Source organism: Homo sapiens, chromosome 16 (assembly GCF_000001405.40).
Source record: "Homo sapiens chromosome 16, GRCh38.p14 Primary Assembly".
NCBI classification, from domain to species: Eukaryota; Metazoa; Chordata; class Mammalia; order Primates; family Hominidae; genus Homo; species Homo sapiens.
This window is the reverse complement of record NC_000016.10, coordinates 26,054,425-26,072,579: the sequence shown is the minus strand read 5'-3', so window position 1 is coordinate 26,072,579 and position 18,155 is coordinate 26,054,425. Positions and strand designations below refer to the sequence as shown.

General features: G+C 43.0%; 1 protein-coding gene and 1 pseudogene across 1 annotated transcript in view; one reads left to right on the top strand and one right to left on the bottom strand.

Moving 5' to 3' along the window:
• HS3ST4 (heparan sulfate-glucosamine 3-sulfotransferase 4) overlaps positions 1-18,155 on the bottom strand; it is a 445,727-nt gene that overhangs the window by 65,106 nt on the left and 362,466 nt on the right. The window lies entirely within an intron of this gene.
• On the top strand, positions 9,515-9,950 carry HSPE1P16 (heat shock protein family E (Hsp10) member 1 pseudogene 16; annotated as a pseudogene).

Below are 18,155 nucleotides of genomic sequence, written 5' to 3'. Positions count from 1 at the left end.
CAAAAACACACCTTTAGCCACTGCACTATACTGACTATCATGTATAAAAATGGGATGTTATCCTGTTTTAGGCACCATCTTAAATTTCTAAGACTGAGACCACCACCATGCATATATCCCTGCCAATTACAGGGCTCTAGAGATTCCTGGTCTGATGCTGGGTACCAATTCTGATGCTCCGTGTCCCACACCAAAGCTATCACCAGCTCATCAGCCAGAGTACACAATTCCAGACAGCAGGTAGAAGACGGAACATCCCTCTTCTAGATTGGCTTGCTCTCCTAAAAGATAAGACCCCCTCATCTAGAATCCTACGGAGTCTGAATCAGAATAAGCCTAACAAATAGTTCATTCAAATGTTTTCTGAGAGCAGAGAACACAGAGGCCCAGAAAGGAAAGGCATTTGCTGAAGGCCACACAACAAGTAAGTGGCCCCTTATGGACCCAGAACCCAAGCCTCCTGGTGCCGAAGTTTCACATGACTCTCTGCTGACTTTCTCAAACTATTCTCCCCTTCATGTGTAATGATCCTTCCTTCAGCTGCATCAAAATCCAAAGATAGGGAAAGGCTACTTCATAGATGTGAAGGGCCCATCGGAGGAGAAGATGGGAGAGTCATTTGGCCCAAGTCATATGCTTCCAGTTGGCTCCAATTTGAGACCCCTCGTGAGTGTTCCAAATGCGATGATGCACTTAGTTATATGCTAACATGACAGGTAGAAGAAAAGGTGCATTCCAGGGGAGGGCCTAGGGTGAGGCAAGTGAAGCACCTAGGTTACAAAATTGAAACAAGTCTGATCCTGAGAGTGAGCGCTCCCTTCAATGTTATACCCTAGGCACTTCACTTTCCTCATTATGGTTCCAGCCCTGGTGTATTCCTACAGCCTCACACTTGAGTCCTGCAACCGACCTTTGGTGTGTGACTAATGCATGTATTTTAAAATAAATCTTCTAATCATCATGTAAACAGTGCGACTCTATTGCATCACATTTTTATTAGTAAAAGCACTAAATGTAAGCAGTGGACAGATGCCACCATTTATAACCTTGTTTTGGCATGTCATGATTTTTTAATATAACCAAAGCCTCAGAAAATGCAAGTGCCCTGAGCTTCTCAAAAATTGAGATGTCTTGAAGCACTGAAATACTTCCTTTTCCCTCTAGAGTCTGCCTTGGACTTAGATTCCTCAACCCCTTGCTTCCTGTCCTCCTTCTTCAGTCCTAAAACAGCACTTTTCACCACAACCCCGCACCCACGGACTCCTAATTTCTACAGCCGCTTCCCCATCATCCTCCAAACCTGACCCCTTTCTCCCTCACCCCTCACCTCCTCTCAAGGATGTTTTCATAGTGGGTTCTGTTTTATGTGCTCCCTCCTCGCATCACAAAGAATTGCATCTCCAGGGTTTGTGGAGCTCGTGTAGGGACGCCTATAGGGCTTCATGCATAATTAATGACAATTCAGCTACACATGTTTTCTATTAGCAATTCAGCCTCTTTTAGGACTTTTTAAAACACACTTTGCAATTCACCAAAATTCTGAGAGGCATTTAAATAGGAAAAATTCATAAAAGCACAGAATGTCTGAGGTTTCTGGAAGGAGGCTTTAATGAAGAATGTCTCCCCAGAGGAGCATTTCCTGAAATGCTTTCTGCTCTGTACCACAAGTTTCTCCAGATGAGTAGGAGACTAAATCGCAGGTCTCCTCAAAAACAATGTCAATGGAATGCCTTTTTTAAAAAATGGTCCCAGGTTACCATAACAACCAAGGTTCCAACAACGTGTTGACTAACTGCAAAGTGATATGATCAGGAAGACCAGAGCAGAGAACAAAAGTATCAGGTTGCTATAGCAACTGGATATACAGAAAATGGAGTTGTTTCAATAGGGAAGTTTTCAATGCAAAAGTACATGTAAAGCATCCTTCTAGGGTGAACGATCATCCAGGAAATTTTTACATTACCCAAGAGATGTTCCATCATTTTGCTTGGTTGCCAAATCTCTAAGACGCTGTATAACATACAGTCTGAAAACTTAGTGACTGTAAACAATAGCCATTTATTTATCTTATGAGTCTGTGGGTTGGCTGGGAAGTTTTGCTGAACTGTGCCAAGTGCAGGTTATATTATCTGGGCTATGCTCCCAGGATTTCAGCTAGGCTTGTTCTGACGTCTGCAGCTGGGAGCTGGCCACTATGAAGGATATGAACAGACACTTCTCAAAAGAAGACATTTATGCCCCCAACAGACACATGAAAAAATGCTCATCATCACTGGCCATCAGAGAAATGCAAATCAAAACCACAATGACATATCATCTCACACCAGTTAGAATGGCGATCATTAAAAAGTCAGGAAACAACAGGTGCTGGAGAGGATGTGGAGAAATAGGAACACTTTTACACTGTTGGTGGGACTGTAAACTAGTTCAACCATTGTGGAAGACAGTGTGGCAATTCCTCAGGGATCTAGAACTAGAAATACCATTTGACCCAGCCATCCCATTACTGGGTATATACCCAAAGGAATATAAATCATGCTGCTGTAAAGACATATGCACACGTATGTTTATTATGGCACTATTCGCAATAGCAAAGACTTGGAACAAACCCAAATGTCCAACAATGATAGCCTGGATTAAGAAAATGTGGCACATATGCACCATGGAGTACTATGCAGCCATAAAAAATGATGAGTTCATGTCCTTTGTAGGGACATGGATGAAGCTGGAAACCATCATTGTCAGCAAACTATGGCAAGGACAAAAAACCAAACACTGCATGTTCTCACTCATAGGTGGGAATTGAATAATGAGAACACTTGGACACAAGAAGGGGAACATCACACACCAGGGCCTGTTGTGGGGTGGGGGGAGGGGGGAGGGATAGCATTAGGAGATATACCTAATGTAGATGACAAGTTAATGGGTGCAGCATAGCAACATGGCACATGTATACATATGTAACAAACCTGCACGTTGTGCACATGTACCCTAGAACTTAAAGTATAATAAAAAAAAATATATATATATAAAAGAATTTACTATAAAAAAAAGAAGGCATCAACCGCGATTACTTGACTTTGTTCCATGTAGTCTTTCATCCTCCATCAGGTTACCCTGGATGTGCTTTTATGGAGGAGCAAGGTTCCAAAAGAAAGCCTAATCTCAGAAGACCCCTTGGTGCCTGGGTTCAGAACTGGTAAGTGATCACTTCCACCACCTTCTGTTCACTAAAGCAAGGCACATAGCCAGCCCAGATTTACAAGGTGTAGAAATAGATACCATTTCTTGTTGGAAGAGGCTGCAACATCCCATTTTAAGGAATGTGGGCTGGGTGCAGTGGCTCATGCCTATAATTTCAGCACTTTGGGAGGCTGAGGCAGTTGTATCACTTGAGCCCAGGAGTTTGAGACCAGTCTGGGCAACATGGCGAAACTCTGTCTCTACAAAAAATGCAAAAATTAGCTGGGCATTGTGGCATGTGCCTGTAGTCCCAGCTATCCTGGAGGCTGAAGCAGAAGGATCACTTGAACCCAGGAGGTTGAGGCTGCAGTGAGTTGTGACTGAGTCACTGCACTCCAGCCTGGGCGACAGAGCAACACCCCGTCTCAAACACAATACATAAATAAATAATATAGATATTGGCAGAAGTGGAGAATTGGGGTCATTTTTGCAAACAGTGTATCAAGATGCCAACATTTACATATAAAACATCCTTGAAATCATACACATAAGTTGGACATGCAAAAATCAAACAATTCACCTACATATTAAAAGGCATTTGGCTTCCAGAGAGCAAAACAATATCAAAAAAGGCCAAAATACATCTCGTATGTTAGATACAGTTTCCAAGGATGTATTTTCAGGATTTTGTACTTGTTCTTTAATTTCATCCCCTTCCTTTAAAACAGAAAAGTCAAACGACCACTTGAGCCCCAAAGGGCATATAATTGAGGTCGGAGATGAAATTACCTGAAATGTTCATTCACCTACTGAATGGAGAGGGGAAGTTTAGGGAGGTGATTAAAAGTGTGGACTTCAAAGTCAGATGGCTTAGGTTCAAATTTTCTTTCACACTCTGACTGGTTATGTAAATTTGGGGAAGACCCTTGATGTCTATGGTGCTCAGAACCCTCACCTGTAAAATGAGGCTAGAATATTACTCTATTTTATTGATCCTAAGATCTACGTTAAACTTTTTAATATAGCTGACATTTGGGGTACCACATCATTGATGCCATGTCACAGTCAAATATAAAATAATTTTGTGTCCTACAACTGATAGCATATTAGGGTCACAGAATGTGGCAATGTCTTCCTCAGGGGATTGGGTTAATCTGTGTGGACTGATTAGAATAATGTCTATCCCCAGTAAGTGCTCAGTAAATGTGAATTAAGAGGAGGAGGAAAATACACCTTTGGCATACATGTTGAAGGGTTATAGAGGTAGATATGCAAAGTATGTGCATTCAAGTTGTACAGAGTTTGAATATTTGAAAGTGAAGCACAGTCTATGTCTATTCCAGGATTGCACTAGTCTGTTCTAATGCTGTTAATAAAGACATAACCAAGACTGGGTAATTCACAAAGGACAGAGCTTCAATTGTGACTCACAGTTCCACACGGCTGGGACGGCCTCACAATCATGGTGGAAGGCAAAGGAGGAGCAAAGTCACGTCTTGCATGGTGGCAGGCAAGCAAGAGACACCATGTGTAGGGGAACTGCCCTTTATAAAACCAACAGATTTTGTGAAACTTATTCACTACCATGAGAACAGCATGGGAAAAACCCGCTCTCATGATTCAATTACCTCCCACCAGCTCCTCCCCATGACACCTGGGAATTATGGGAGCTACAGTTCCAGATTTGGGTAGGGACACAGCCAAACCATATCAGGGATGTTGTCTTTTCTGGAGATGTAAAGAAAGCTGAACTTCCCTAATTATTAGTTAGTGCCATCAGCAATTTTTCTTGACTTTATTTAACATCAACCCTGGGAGGACAATTTCATTTTCCCAAGTTACAAAAGAGAAAACAGAATCAGTGAGGTGGCACAGGGGTGGCTGGGGTGGGGGGTGGTGGGAATGCTATACTTAGGGTCACAAACTCAATTAGTGGCAGAGAAAAGTTACACCCAAATATCTTTGACACCAAATTGTTTTCACTAATTTGGTCATGTCTCCCTTGGGACATGACCTAGCAGAGAAGGGGAGCAATGGATGACGCTATTATTTTAGCGCTCAGATTATGCATTCAAAATGAGGAGGGACAGAGAATCAATGCTGATTCAGAACTTCTCTCTAGGAAGTGGTTGGAAGCAGCTATTTTGTTGGACTAAGAGCGGGAGACTTTGTCTGAAAATAATATTTGCACAGGAAGCACGTTTAGATATTTTATTTTTATTTCAATTGCAATTTGTTTGGAGGAGGTGTGGAAGTGTTGTTAAGTAGAGATGATGAGGGACAAACCACCCCTCTGGGCAACCAGTGCAGCCTAAAAAATGGTGCTTAATCCCCTCTACCTGTCAAATTCCCATGCACTTACAAGGACTTTCCTACCTGATCTAGCTCCTGGGAGTCCTCATATGACTTTATCTGTATCTGCAGTCCTGTTCCACAGCACAGACCCTGCCAATGATTATTTACTACATAAAATTTGCTGATGCCTACACAACCCCACAGGAATTCATTCCATATATAGAACTAATGTCCACAGAACAGATGTCCTGAGCATTGCATACTGCAAAGGGATCTCCTTCCTTTGGTCATAGAAAGAATGTAGAGTGAGGCTCTCATTCTAAAGTGAGATGCAAGAAATCGTGTGGAATTCTGTGGTGACAATTAGGCAGGAGAAATTCAGCACTTTATTCTACCTGCTCTTCTGCACACTGTCTTTCTGTAATTAACCTTTCAAGTGTCTCAACACTGCAGCTGCTGGTGGTGAGTCTCATTTACCTAAGTGACAGGTGTGTGTTGGAAATCACCCAGGTTTCTTGCAGATGCTCAGAGAATGAGTAGATGGAAAGAGGAAGAAAAGAAGAGAGGGAGAGAAGGAAAGAAGAAGGAAGGGACTGAACGGGGAACAGATTAAAACTTTTCGCCTTTGTTCATTTCTTATGTAGAATATTTCATTTCCTCAAATATCAGATAGTACAAAATGATGCAGTGATAATAGTCTTGCTCTCAATAACATCATTAAAATGTTCCATCTCTCTTGCGAGAGAATACCGTTCCTCCCACCTCTTTACAAATTCCTTTTTAAAAACTTTCGGCCAAGAAAAATAAGTTTTATATGATAGACATGTAGGACTTCCTTTATCTAATAATTAGCTCATACCCCTTGTACTGTTTGTAAAACTCTTAACCATCTCTGCTTTTACCCCACATACAGGTGTTCATGTCGTAAGCAAATCACTTACAAAGCAAGTCTCCTATTGAGTGGTCTTACTCGTGCCTTGCATTTTAGGATTCATAGTGAAGACCACTCTTCTCTACAAGATTGTAAAGATATGGCATATCATACAACGGGCAGCTGTATGGATCTCATGTCCACCTCTTTTGAGTAACATAATGCCATAAAAATGGGCAGACATGTGTCTTATTAACGTATACGTGATGTAGACAATTATTTTGTTGTCCTGTTTTGCTCTTTTCTATCACAACTAAGAAGCCAGTGCAAGGTTTTGGAACTTGATCTCTAATTTTCCTCTATCTGAATTTCTCCATCTAGATTGTCAGTAGTCTAAGGTGTGATTCACTTCTTACTTATATTCAATCTCCTGTGACTAGGCTGGTGTACAGAGCTTAGAAACTAAGAACTCTCAATAAATGTTGAAATTCATGCACATCATTTTGCCTCCTCTCCCTCTTTATCTCTTACTTTGTGGTGTAGTCTATGCTGACTGTCCAAACTTACTGGACCATATTTTATTTTTATCTTTTTTTTTCGCTTTTATTTTGAGTTCAGGGGTACAAGTGCAGATTTGTTACAAAGGTAAACATGTGTTATGCAGGTCTGTTGTACAGATTATTTCATCACCCATGTATTAAGCCCACTACCCATTAGCTATTTTTCCTTATCTTCTCCCTCCTCCCACCCTCCAGCCTCTGAAAGGCCCCAGTGTGTGTCATTCCCCTCTGCGTGTCCATGTGTTTTCATCATTTAGCTCCCACTTATGAGTGAGAACATATGGTATTTGGTTTTCTGTCCTGTGTTAGTTTGCTAGTGATAATGGCCTACAGCTCCATCCATGTCCCTGCAAAGGACATGACCTCATTCTTTTCTATGGCTGCATAGTATTCCATGGTGTATATGTACCACATTTTCTTTATGCAGTCTATCATTGATGGGCATTCAGGTTGACTCCATGGCTTTGCTATTGTGAATAGTGCTGCAATGAATATATGCATGCATGTGTCTTTATAATAGTATGTTTTATATTCCTTTGGGTATATACCCAGTAATGGGATTGTTGGGTCAAATGGTTTTTCTGTCTTTAGGTCTTTGAGGAATCATATGAATAAAAGCTCAACATCATTGATCATTAAGAAATGTAAATCAAAGCCACAATGAGATACTATCTGGAATGTATTTTAATTCAACCTCAGATTAACTTTACTGGTGGTGATGGTATGAACAGCCACATAATTAAGACTACAATCCTGCTGGGCACGGTGGCTCATGCCTGTAATCCCAACACTTTGGGAGGCCGCAGCAGGTGGATCACCTGAGGTTGGGAGTTCGAGACCAGCCTGACCAACATGGGGAAACCTCGTCTCCAAGAAAAATACAAAATCAGCCCGGTGTGATGGCACATGCCTGTGATCCCAGCTACTGGGGAGGCTGAGGCAGGAGAATCACTTGAACCTGGGAAGCAGAGGTTGCGGTGAGCCAAGATCACGCCATTGCACTTCAGCCCAGGCAACAAGAGTGAAACTCTGTCTCAAAAAAAAAAAAAAAAAAAAAAAAGACTACAATCCTAGCTGCTGTCTCTGCTCCTAGGCCTTCCCAGTCCTGGCCTACACCATAAATCTATCTGAACTACTCTGGCTGACTTCAAGTCTCTCCTTAATCTGGTCCTATGTACCCTGTGTTTTTCCCACCAGTGCCTAAATCCTCCATGACATCTGCGTGCTTCACTGTGGCTTCTGCACGATGCTCAGTCTTCCCTCTGAGCCTTTGCTCATGGTCTACCCGACACCTAGCAAGCCTCCCTTCTACCCTCTATACCCTAAGCACCTTGGACATTAAGACAGCATTGGAAACTTTTTTTTTGGATAGGGATTAAAAGTAACTAACATTTAAAAACTGAGTTTAGTTTAAAAGATTTCCATCATCTCTTGCAAAGGTGGAAGATTTGGCTACACTGGGCATTCCCTCCTGTATGACATCTATTGGAGAGAGATGAACAATGGCTGGTTTCTTAAAGAGGGTCTGTGCTGTCTGGCTCACCATAGCCCCCAACATGCAGACAGCACATACGTGGACACTAGCCCCATTCTCTTGTTTATGTTACCTACCTAGCTTCTTATATATTTTAGTCATAAACCTAATCGACTCCCTAAGATCTAATTTAAGGCCATTTCCTCCAGAAAGTGGATCCTGACAGTGTTTTAGTTGTTTCCCTGAGGGAGTAGGGGATGTTAATTACCAACAAGAATGTCCTAATTTACTGGAGTTTACTAGTTACCCACGGCTTTGTGGCATCTGGAGGTTCATTACTGGCATCCAAACAACATTCTGTGTCCCCGGCCCATGCAATCAGCTAGGATGTTCCCCACAAGAGAAAAGTTGTATCAGATGCCCTTTAACATGCTTGCCAACTCAGCTTAATATGGTTCTGTGAGCATCTCACCTACCCATTTTCTTTCTTTATTTTTTTAAGAGACAGGGTCTTCCTCTGTCATCCAGGCTGGAGTGCAGTGGTGCAATCATAGCTCACTGCAGCCTCAAACTCCTAGGCTCAAGCACTCCTCCCACTGAACCTCCCAAGTAGCTAGGACTATAGGTGTGCACCACCACACCTAGCTAATTTTTAATGGTTTTTTTCTTTTTTTTTTTTTTCAGTAGAGACAAGGTCTCACTATGTGCCCAGGCTGGTCTCAAACTCCTGGCTTCAAACACCTCAGCCTCCCAAAGTGCTGGGATTACAGGTGTAAACTACCATGCCCAGACTCATTTTCTCCTTATCACACATCCATGACAAGGCTGAGCATGGTCTCATTTGCTGAAAATGGATAGGACAGCAGGGTACAGACAGAGGCTATAATTCAACCAATGGAAGGGGTTGGGGAGGAAGATGTTGGGGATGATAGAAATGCTTAGATCCAGCTCTGGGTTACAAGAGAAAGTCAGACTTTCCCAGAAATTCTGGGAAGTATGGAGAGATTCATGGGATGAGCTCAGCACAGGATACCAGAGTGTCTTGGCATCAGCAGCATGAGAGCAATGTATGAGCCTTGATGGCAGGAATCATGGCAGACAAGCATTTAGAAAGTTTATTCTGCTCTTTGGCCAAGTATTGGTTAAAAGGAAAGCAGTTGAAACTGTAACCAAAGAAGGCATATGCTTCCAGAAATATCTCAAGAAAAAATATTGCAAGTAACAGTAGTAGCTGTTGGATTGGGCTCTAAAGTGAAGGTTGAAGAGATTCAACCAGTTAGCATGAAAGTTGGTGATAAAGTTCTTCTCCAACTTTGGTGCCAGAATATGTAGTGAAAGTTGGAGATAAAGTTCTTCTCCCAGAATATGCAGGCACCAAAGTGGTGCTAGGTGACAGGAATTATTTCTTATTTAGAGATGGTGACATTCTTGGGAAGTACGTAGACTAAAATAGATCACTATTGAAATAGCATCAACATGAGCTCGTGCATTCCACTGAAGTTCTGAAATCTTTCATCATGTAAACAATTTTCGTGCCTCCCTTTTATAATAAATGAATTATATCTAAACTAAAAAAAAAAAAAAAACTATACCAATAGTCCATGATGCATGGCAATGAAGATGATTCCGAAATAGAGGAAGGTAGGCAAGGATGCAGGCATCGGGCCAAGGTTCAGGTACAACTGTCTCATCCCTGGGATCAAAAATGGATGAATAAGGCAAAGTCGGTCCTCATTTGATTGACAGCACCCAATATGTTATCATGGCAGAAATCTAGATGAGAAGAACAGGCAAGAATCCCATTGATTAAAGCTTAATGTGCCCCAATCACAGTGCCAAGCACTGTTGACAAAGTTATGACTACCCCATTTTACAGATGAGAAGACTAAGGCCCAGAGGACATTAAACAGCACATTAGAACTGGATCCACCAGTTGAACCAGCTCTGTCTGACTCCAGTGTGTCTTTCTCTAAATGCTCTGAGTTGGAAGAAGTTGGGTTGAATTTGGACTTGGGGAATGCAGCCCTGAGATAGAAATTTAATGGCTGAATAATGGGCATGTGCTGTTTTACCCACTCAAAGCTCATTAATCTTTTTGTCCATTTTTAGCCCACATACTTCAGGTAGAACTCCATCAGCAACTCCAGATGGTAGAACACATGATGTAGCCTATCCAGAATATTCATCACCCTGGCCACAGAATGATTCATTTCAGGATGAGCATGTGACCTAAATCAGTCCAACTAGGGTGAATTTTGACCTTTATAGGAGCCAGAAGGAGAAAATAAAAACAAAAATGAAAAAAGCAAGCTTCTTTTCCCTTTTCCCTATGGAACTTGAATGGGAGAATTTGAAGATAAAGTTGCTGGTTCCATCTTGCCACCACGAGATTATATTTGGTTGGAGAATGAAGTTGACACAGATATCTGAGCCCTGAGATGAATAAAGAAAGAGAAACTGAGAAACAAAGCCTGATGACATTATTTGGGCCCCTAAGTCAAGCTACACTTAGAGATAGAATAACTTATCCTTTTCCTATTCCTGAGCTAAGAAACTCCCAGCCACTTAGACTAGTTTGGTCAGATTTTGCGTCACTTCCAACAAAAGTCCTACATTAATTCTGGACAAACAGTAAAGTCAAAAGTAGGCCAAGTTCCACAGCTTCTGGCCAGGATTCTTAAATCTACCCACCTCCTGATCATAATTGTTCCTGGTGCTCATGTGTAGCCAAGATGGTGGTGGAGGTCAAAGAGAGTTTGAAGAAAGAAGAGATGTGGAGACTTGGAAGTTGGTAATCCTGGCTATTCTCTGCCATGACTAACACTGCATTGTAAGCCAGGACCACGCCGTTCAGCAACAAGTACATGCTGTATAATGAGCAATCTCCTGTTAAAGGAAGACAACGTGTTTTCCACAGTCATGCTCAACTAATTTATTAGTGCTTTTTGAGATGGCAAAGAGGCATCTGGCTAAACTAGTCTGTGGAAATGATTTAATTAGACTGAGAAAAAAATAAGAAGAAAGATAAGAAGAACTTTGACAAGTTTCTACATCAAATGCTGTTCAAAACACTGCATCACCATGGGGTTGGGATGTGTGTGCGTTTTGCCATGAATTTGCTCAGAAAGCAGTAATAGAGAAGAAATAAACAAGCCCTTTAGAAGATGGGAACATGTAATAAGTGAGATTCTTCAAAGATCAAGACAGCATTTGTCTTACTAAACATCTTTATAAAATACTGAGGACTCACTGCAGAGTGAAAAACCTCAGTATGTGGATAACAGTGAATTCTTCTGGTTAGTGAGAAGCCAGAGGAACTGGAATACCCAGCCAATCAGTAATTAATGACTGATGAGTTAATTACAAAATCCCAGCCAACCGATCGCAGGGTGGTACTTGAAATTCTCCTGCTGTTGTGGGCATTTCTAGACCAAAGAGAAATAGAAACTGCTGCTTTATGCCTCAGTATGGTGTCTGGGAGAACACCAAACACATATGAGGTGCTCAATCATTATAAAAGTTTTTATACCAGATTTCAGATGACCTTGGCTATCTCCCACCTGAATGAGAGATTGCAGAACTATGCTGAGAAACAGTCCCAGTCCCTGTCACAGCTAAGTGTCAGTGCAAAGATTGATGACCAATGTCTGCTATGGAAAACCAAGTAGAGGGCAGTGAAAAGATGACGAGTATCTGAAGACTGTAAAATGTTGAGCTGTTGGAGAGCAGGAAGCAGGAAGTCAGACAGCAGTGTACTTCAGCAACTCAATGGCCACCAGGAAGTCCCTGGAGCAAGGGAGTAAGACGAGCTGGTGTAGAATTGAAGTTAATCTGGTGGGAAAGCTTTCAATTAATGTATCCTTACTGTTCTTCCCACCTTACCAGCCGTGGACACCCCAAAGACTCCAATAAAAGGACAACATAGGTCAAGCTCAAATGACTGCACCTGCTTCATGGGTCTCCTGAGTCCTCTCATGTCTTAGGAAGCTTGAGCAGTCATCCAGTCTTTCTTCGGGGCAGGGCTGGGTTTCTCTGATTTGGCCATAAGGAAACCTCTAATGCACGGACTCAGGGTTCTGACAACAATCAAAACAATCACAAGTAAAAATAATAGTAATAGGCTGGGCGCAGTGGCTCACGCCTGTAATCCCAGCATGTTGAGAGGCCGGGGCGGGCAGATCACAAGGTCAGGAGTTTGAGACCAGCCTGGCCAACACAGTGAAACCCCATCTCTACTAAATATACAAAAAAATTAGCTGGGCGTGGTGGCAGGCACCTGTAATCCCAGCTACTCAGGAGGGTGAGGCAAGAGAATTGCTTGAACCAGGGAGGCGGAGGTTGCAGCGAGCCAAGATTGTGCCACTGCATGCCAGCCTGGGCGACGGAGCAAGACTCCATCTCAAAAAAAATAAAAATAAAATAAAATAATAATAGTAATAATAATACTAGCGCGTTTGAAAGATATTAAAATGTGTTCACCTTCCTGGAGTAACCAATTTAATCCTATCAAATCCCAGTGAGGTGTTATCATGATCTTCACAGATCAGGCTAAGAGGGTTTATGTGTTCTGCCTGCTTCACACGGTCAGAGGAGGATGGAGATGGAAACCTGGCAACTATTAGTCATGCCGTTCAATCAATGCATTAATGAATGACTTCGTTAATTAATTTGGGTTTTCTCACCCAAGTTTTTGTACGATGCCTATTTTTCCAGTATAAGTAGCTAAAGGACCCTCTCCGCCCTACTTTATTTCATTCTTAGGCATAAAAGATAATGTTTTGTGGAAATGGTTTTGCCTTTTCTGGCTTGGTGAATTTCTGTAAGCAAATCACATATCACACTCTGTGATCAATATTCAAAAAAAAGAGAGAGAGGCAAGGAGAGAGGAGGGGAGGGAAGAAGAGAGAGAGGGGGACAAGTGGAGGGAAAGGAAGGAGGAAGGGAAAAAACAGCCCAAATACAGCCCCACCTCATTTGCCACCCTGAACCCTTGAACCTGCCACTCTGACAAGACCTCTCCCTCGCCTCCACTCTGCCATCGCCTTTTTCTAGGTCCCAGGTTCTGTCTCTGTCTCATTCTTTGAACCTGAGGCTTAGGATCGCTTCTTTGGGTTTCTCTGCTTGATCACAACTTGAACTCATCTTTTGAATCACATTCTTTCCACTTCCCTTGGCAAGGTGTGACCCTCAGGCCTCCCACCTCAGTCCAAGGCTTCAAAGCCAGAACCCACCTTCCTCCCAGCCCCCAGGTTGGAACTGGGACAATGAATGGGGCCAGAAAAATCATCCTTCCTTGACATTCACTTATTTGAACTGATCGTCAGGACACCAGGAGCCAATTCAGCAGTTCTACTTCTAGGACCTCACCTATTCCCTTTCCCTCTCTGGGCCTGTTTCCGCATCTGCACCAGAAAGGGACTGAGTCAGGTGTTCTGACGACGCTTCCAAAGCCAAGATTCCAGAGTATCTGCTTCCCTGTGGAACAAAGTAGAGGCAAAGGATACAACAGAACCAATTTCTAGCCAAGTAGATTTGCCTCTGCCCTGGAGAGTGAGAGGGTGCAGCGGAAATTCAGTAATTCTTTAGCACTGGCCAAGACATGATGGACAGGAAAGAATCCTGTAATCATGAGGCAGGAGAGAGCACAATCCATTAAGACCTTTTAGCCACAGGCTCCACAGAGCCGTTCACCTCCTGCTGTGCCTGTGAGCCATGTCACCCCCAGTGTTCTCAGCCAAGGAGCTCTCTCCTGCTGGCCTCTTTAGCTCACTCGTGTTGCTGCCCTGCCCCAAAGCCCACATTTAAGTCAACCAAAAAGCCTGCAGGAAGAAATGCAATCTAAAAATATTACCATCACTTTGGGACCTGATTTCTTTTTCTTCTTTTGACAAATGGAAAATCCCCAGGGGTTGTTCTGAGCTGATGCCCAGATACTGCACAAATAACAGGCAGTGGTGCAGCCCCTGGCTCAGCCCCTTTCTCCAACAGATGAGGAAATTAAATTTCAGAAAGGTTTGGTCACTTGCTAGGAATCACACAGCCACAGTTACATAGCTTGGAGAACATGTATAATGCAAAGCTTTAATGGGGCTGTTTTCCTTGCAACAACTTGTGTTGCCTCCCAATTGGCACCATTCAATCTGACTCCTCCATCAGGACCTGATTAAATCTCAGAGAGGACTTCTCAGATTGCCATCAAACTCGATTTTAATTCTCTCTCACATTTTCTGAGTAGGACTGTGGCCTTCAACCCTGGCCCCAGTGAGATGTTTCCTGAAACTCCCGTAATACACTCCACAGTAAGAGGGAGGCTTTACCTGGCCCAGACCTGCATCTCTCTTCTTCACACAGACAGATGAAGGCTCAGCTCTACCTGCACGACCCCCACAAAGGCAACGAAAAGGAATGCTTGGCAAGAAATGCACTAGCTTATTTCTTTCTTTCTTTATCTTTAGAGACAGAGCCTCATTCTGTCACCAGGCTAGAGTGCAGTGGAGCGATCTTGGCTCACTGCAACCTCCGCCTCCCAGGTTCAAGCAATTCTCCTGCCTGAGTAGCTGGGACTATAGGTGTGCACCACCACACTCAGCTAATTTTTGTATTTTTAGTAGAGACGGAGTTTCACCATGTTGGCCAGGATGGTCTTGATCTCTTGACCTCATGATCTGCCCACCTCAGCCTCCCACAGCGCTGAGATTACAGGCGTGAGCCACCGCGCCCAGCCTGCACCAGCTTTTAGAGTGATACACATCACTTCTTCCTACATGCCTTTGGTCAAAACAGGTCATATGGCCACACCTGAGTTTCAGTAGGTGGGGATGATCCTACCATGTACCCTGGGCAAGAGAAGCAAGTACCTGTGAAAGGCCCTACCTTTGGCCACAGAAAGGTGTTTGCTCTCCTCTTTAGCAGAGAATCTTGGATAAGCTTGGATAAGTTACCCAACCTCCCTGAGCCTTAGTTTTCCCACCTATCAAGGGCAGGTTGAGTACCCCTTATCCAAAATGCTTGTGACCAGAGGTGTTTCTGATTTTGGATATTTTCAAATTTTGGAATATTTCCATCATGTACTTACTGGCTGAGCATCTGAAATCTGAAAATCCAAAATCCAAAAGTGCTCTAATGAGCACTTCCTTTGAGCATCATGTTGACACTCAGAGTTTCAGATCTGGGGGCATTTGGGATTTTGAATTTGGGGATTTGGAATGCTCAACCTGGACCAATTCTACAAGGTCACAGTGAAGATTAAATATGACAATATAATGTGAACTACTCCACAAAGTATACCTGTACAATTATAAATAGGTATACATTTTATAATACTAATATTGATACAGATGTTGAACTTGTCATTGCTAGGATATTTACATAACAGAGAATGCTGAGCTGAGTGTATGCTGATCTGCATTATCATGAAAAATTTTTAAGAAGCAACAGACAAATAAATGTCTATGTGTCATGGTTCATTACTGTGGGAAACACAATGATGTCCTTTGTGATTTTTTAGGAGGTTGGGAGCAGGGCAGTGGCAGGGAGAAGCTCTGTCTACTGAATAAGAGGCTGCTAATAGCACCCACCAGTGTGCACACATTAGGTAAAGGTCAGTCAGAAACATCCACCTCACACTAGAGGGAAGAGCACTGTCTAAACACACAGCTTTGCTGCCTTGCAATGGCTCTCAGAGCACTTCTGTGCCCCCTGCTCCTGACTGTGGGTTGGTGGAGCACACAGCCACAATCCCAGTCCTCAGCTCAGAGACTGTCTTGAAGCTTTGGACTCTGATGGGGTAATTACCACCAAAATAATGGCCTGGTGCTGACCCACTCCAGCATCCAGTTCTTATCTTCCCATTTCATTCTGCTTAAGACAGCCATTCTTGCACCAATGGTTTTTTGACCAATAGTTCTCAAAAACTTCCAACCTGGTCTGCTGGCCACTGGGTCTGACACTGAACCACCTACTTCCCTGGCCCCTTGATAGAAATTGACAAGGATTCGTGAGAAACAGATGTTTAGCCCTTGCCTTGTTAGGTAAACTGAGTCAATTGGGAGGGGAAGTTAATTCAAATGGAGGAGAGTTTGCTTCCTTGTGAAAAACAATGAATCTTAATGCATTCTTCTCTCTCTCTCTCTCTCTCTCTCTCTCTCTCTCTCTCTGTCTCTCTCTTTCTCATGCAAATTAGGATACATTATGATGTAAATCCAGCCGGTCAGGTATGGTGTTGTGTTTATACCCTGAGGAGATTGTTATCAAATGTCCAGTGAGCCCGAACCCTGTAAACAGACAAGCAGGTCATTGAGAACCCTTGGCCCAAACTGCAAAGCTTCACTGCCCAAATGAATCAAATCCATCAGACGGTTAGCATGCCACTTCTTTCTGTATATTCAGCCAAGGTGAGCTACAATATATCAGCATATTATTCATCCCAAAAACACTTAAGAGGAGAGGAAAGAAAATAGAGCTTCCATATGCACCCACATGCAATGGTTCTACAGAGTGGAAGACATTTAGCCAGGGGATAGTGACTAGGTTTACAGGATTTGAAGATTTTAAAATAAGAAGTCTGAGGATTATTATGCGGGAAACTTTTCAAAACTAAGCATTGGTGGGTATTGCTAGCCTTAGCTAGATTAGTGAGTAACACCCAGAACTAGGCTACCACCATAATTCCAGCAGCAGGTGCATGTGACATCTTCCCTGATAGCCTCTGTGCCCACCAAGTCATTGTGCCCCTCAGTTCCCAGCCACCATGACCCAAAAAGAGTGTCAGAGTTTCCCCTACTAGTGCCCAGATCTTCCTAATTATCATCATTGCTTGAGTTCCTGCTGTGAGCTAGGCAAAGTAAAGTACTTTACAAATATCATCTCCTTTATCCTCCTAGCTGAAAACTGAACCTCACAAAGGCTAAATCACTTAGCCACAGCCACACATCTTCTCAATGCCAGAGCTGAGGTTTGGGGCTGAGCCAGTCTAACTTCAAATCCTGTGCCTTCCTCTCTGACCTCAGCAGGCTGCCTCCCTGCTGAGGGCCCTGACCCTCTCTCATGAATGATTCACATTAAAGAGCAATCTTGGAGGATAGAAAAAAAAAAACAACTCATCAAATTTAAGAAAAGATAATGGTGATCTGGCGGTGCTGGGTAGCTCTGAATTTAATGTCATAGGAACAACACAGAACAATCAGATATAATTTTTGTCAGTTCCCCATAGAACATCTAGTCCAGCACTTGGAAATGCCCATGACTTCAGAGGCCAGTAAAGAGGTAGCAAGGAGTCAAGATTCTCTGCTGAAGAGAAGCGAAAACACCTTTCTGTGGTCAAAGGTAGGTAAAGAGCAGTCAGAAACATCCATCTCACACTAGATAAAAGAGCACTGTCTAAACACACAGCTTTGTTACCTTGCGATGGCTCCCAGAGCACCTCTGTGCCCCCTGCTCCTGACTATGAGTTGGTGGAACCCATAGCCACAATCCCAGTCCTCAGCTCAGAGACTCTCTTGAAACTCTGGACCCTGATGGGGGTAATTACCACCAAAATAATGACCTGGTGCTGTCCCACTCCAGTACCCAGTTCTTATCTTTCCATTTCATTTTGCTGAAGATAGCCATTCCTCTTGCACCAATGGTTTTCGGACCAATTGTTCTCAAAAACTTCCAACTTGGTCTGCTGGCCACTGGTTCTGACACTGAACCACCTACTTCCCTGGCCCCTTGATGGAAATTGACAAGGATTCATGGGAAACAGATGTTTAGCTCTTGCCTTGTTAGGTAA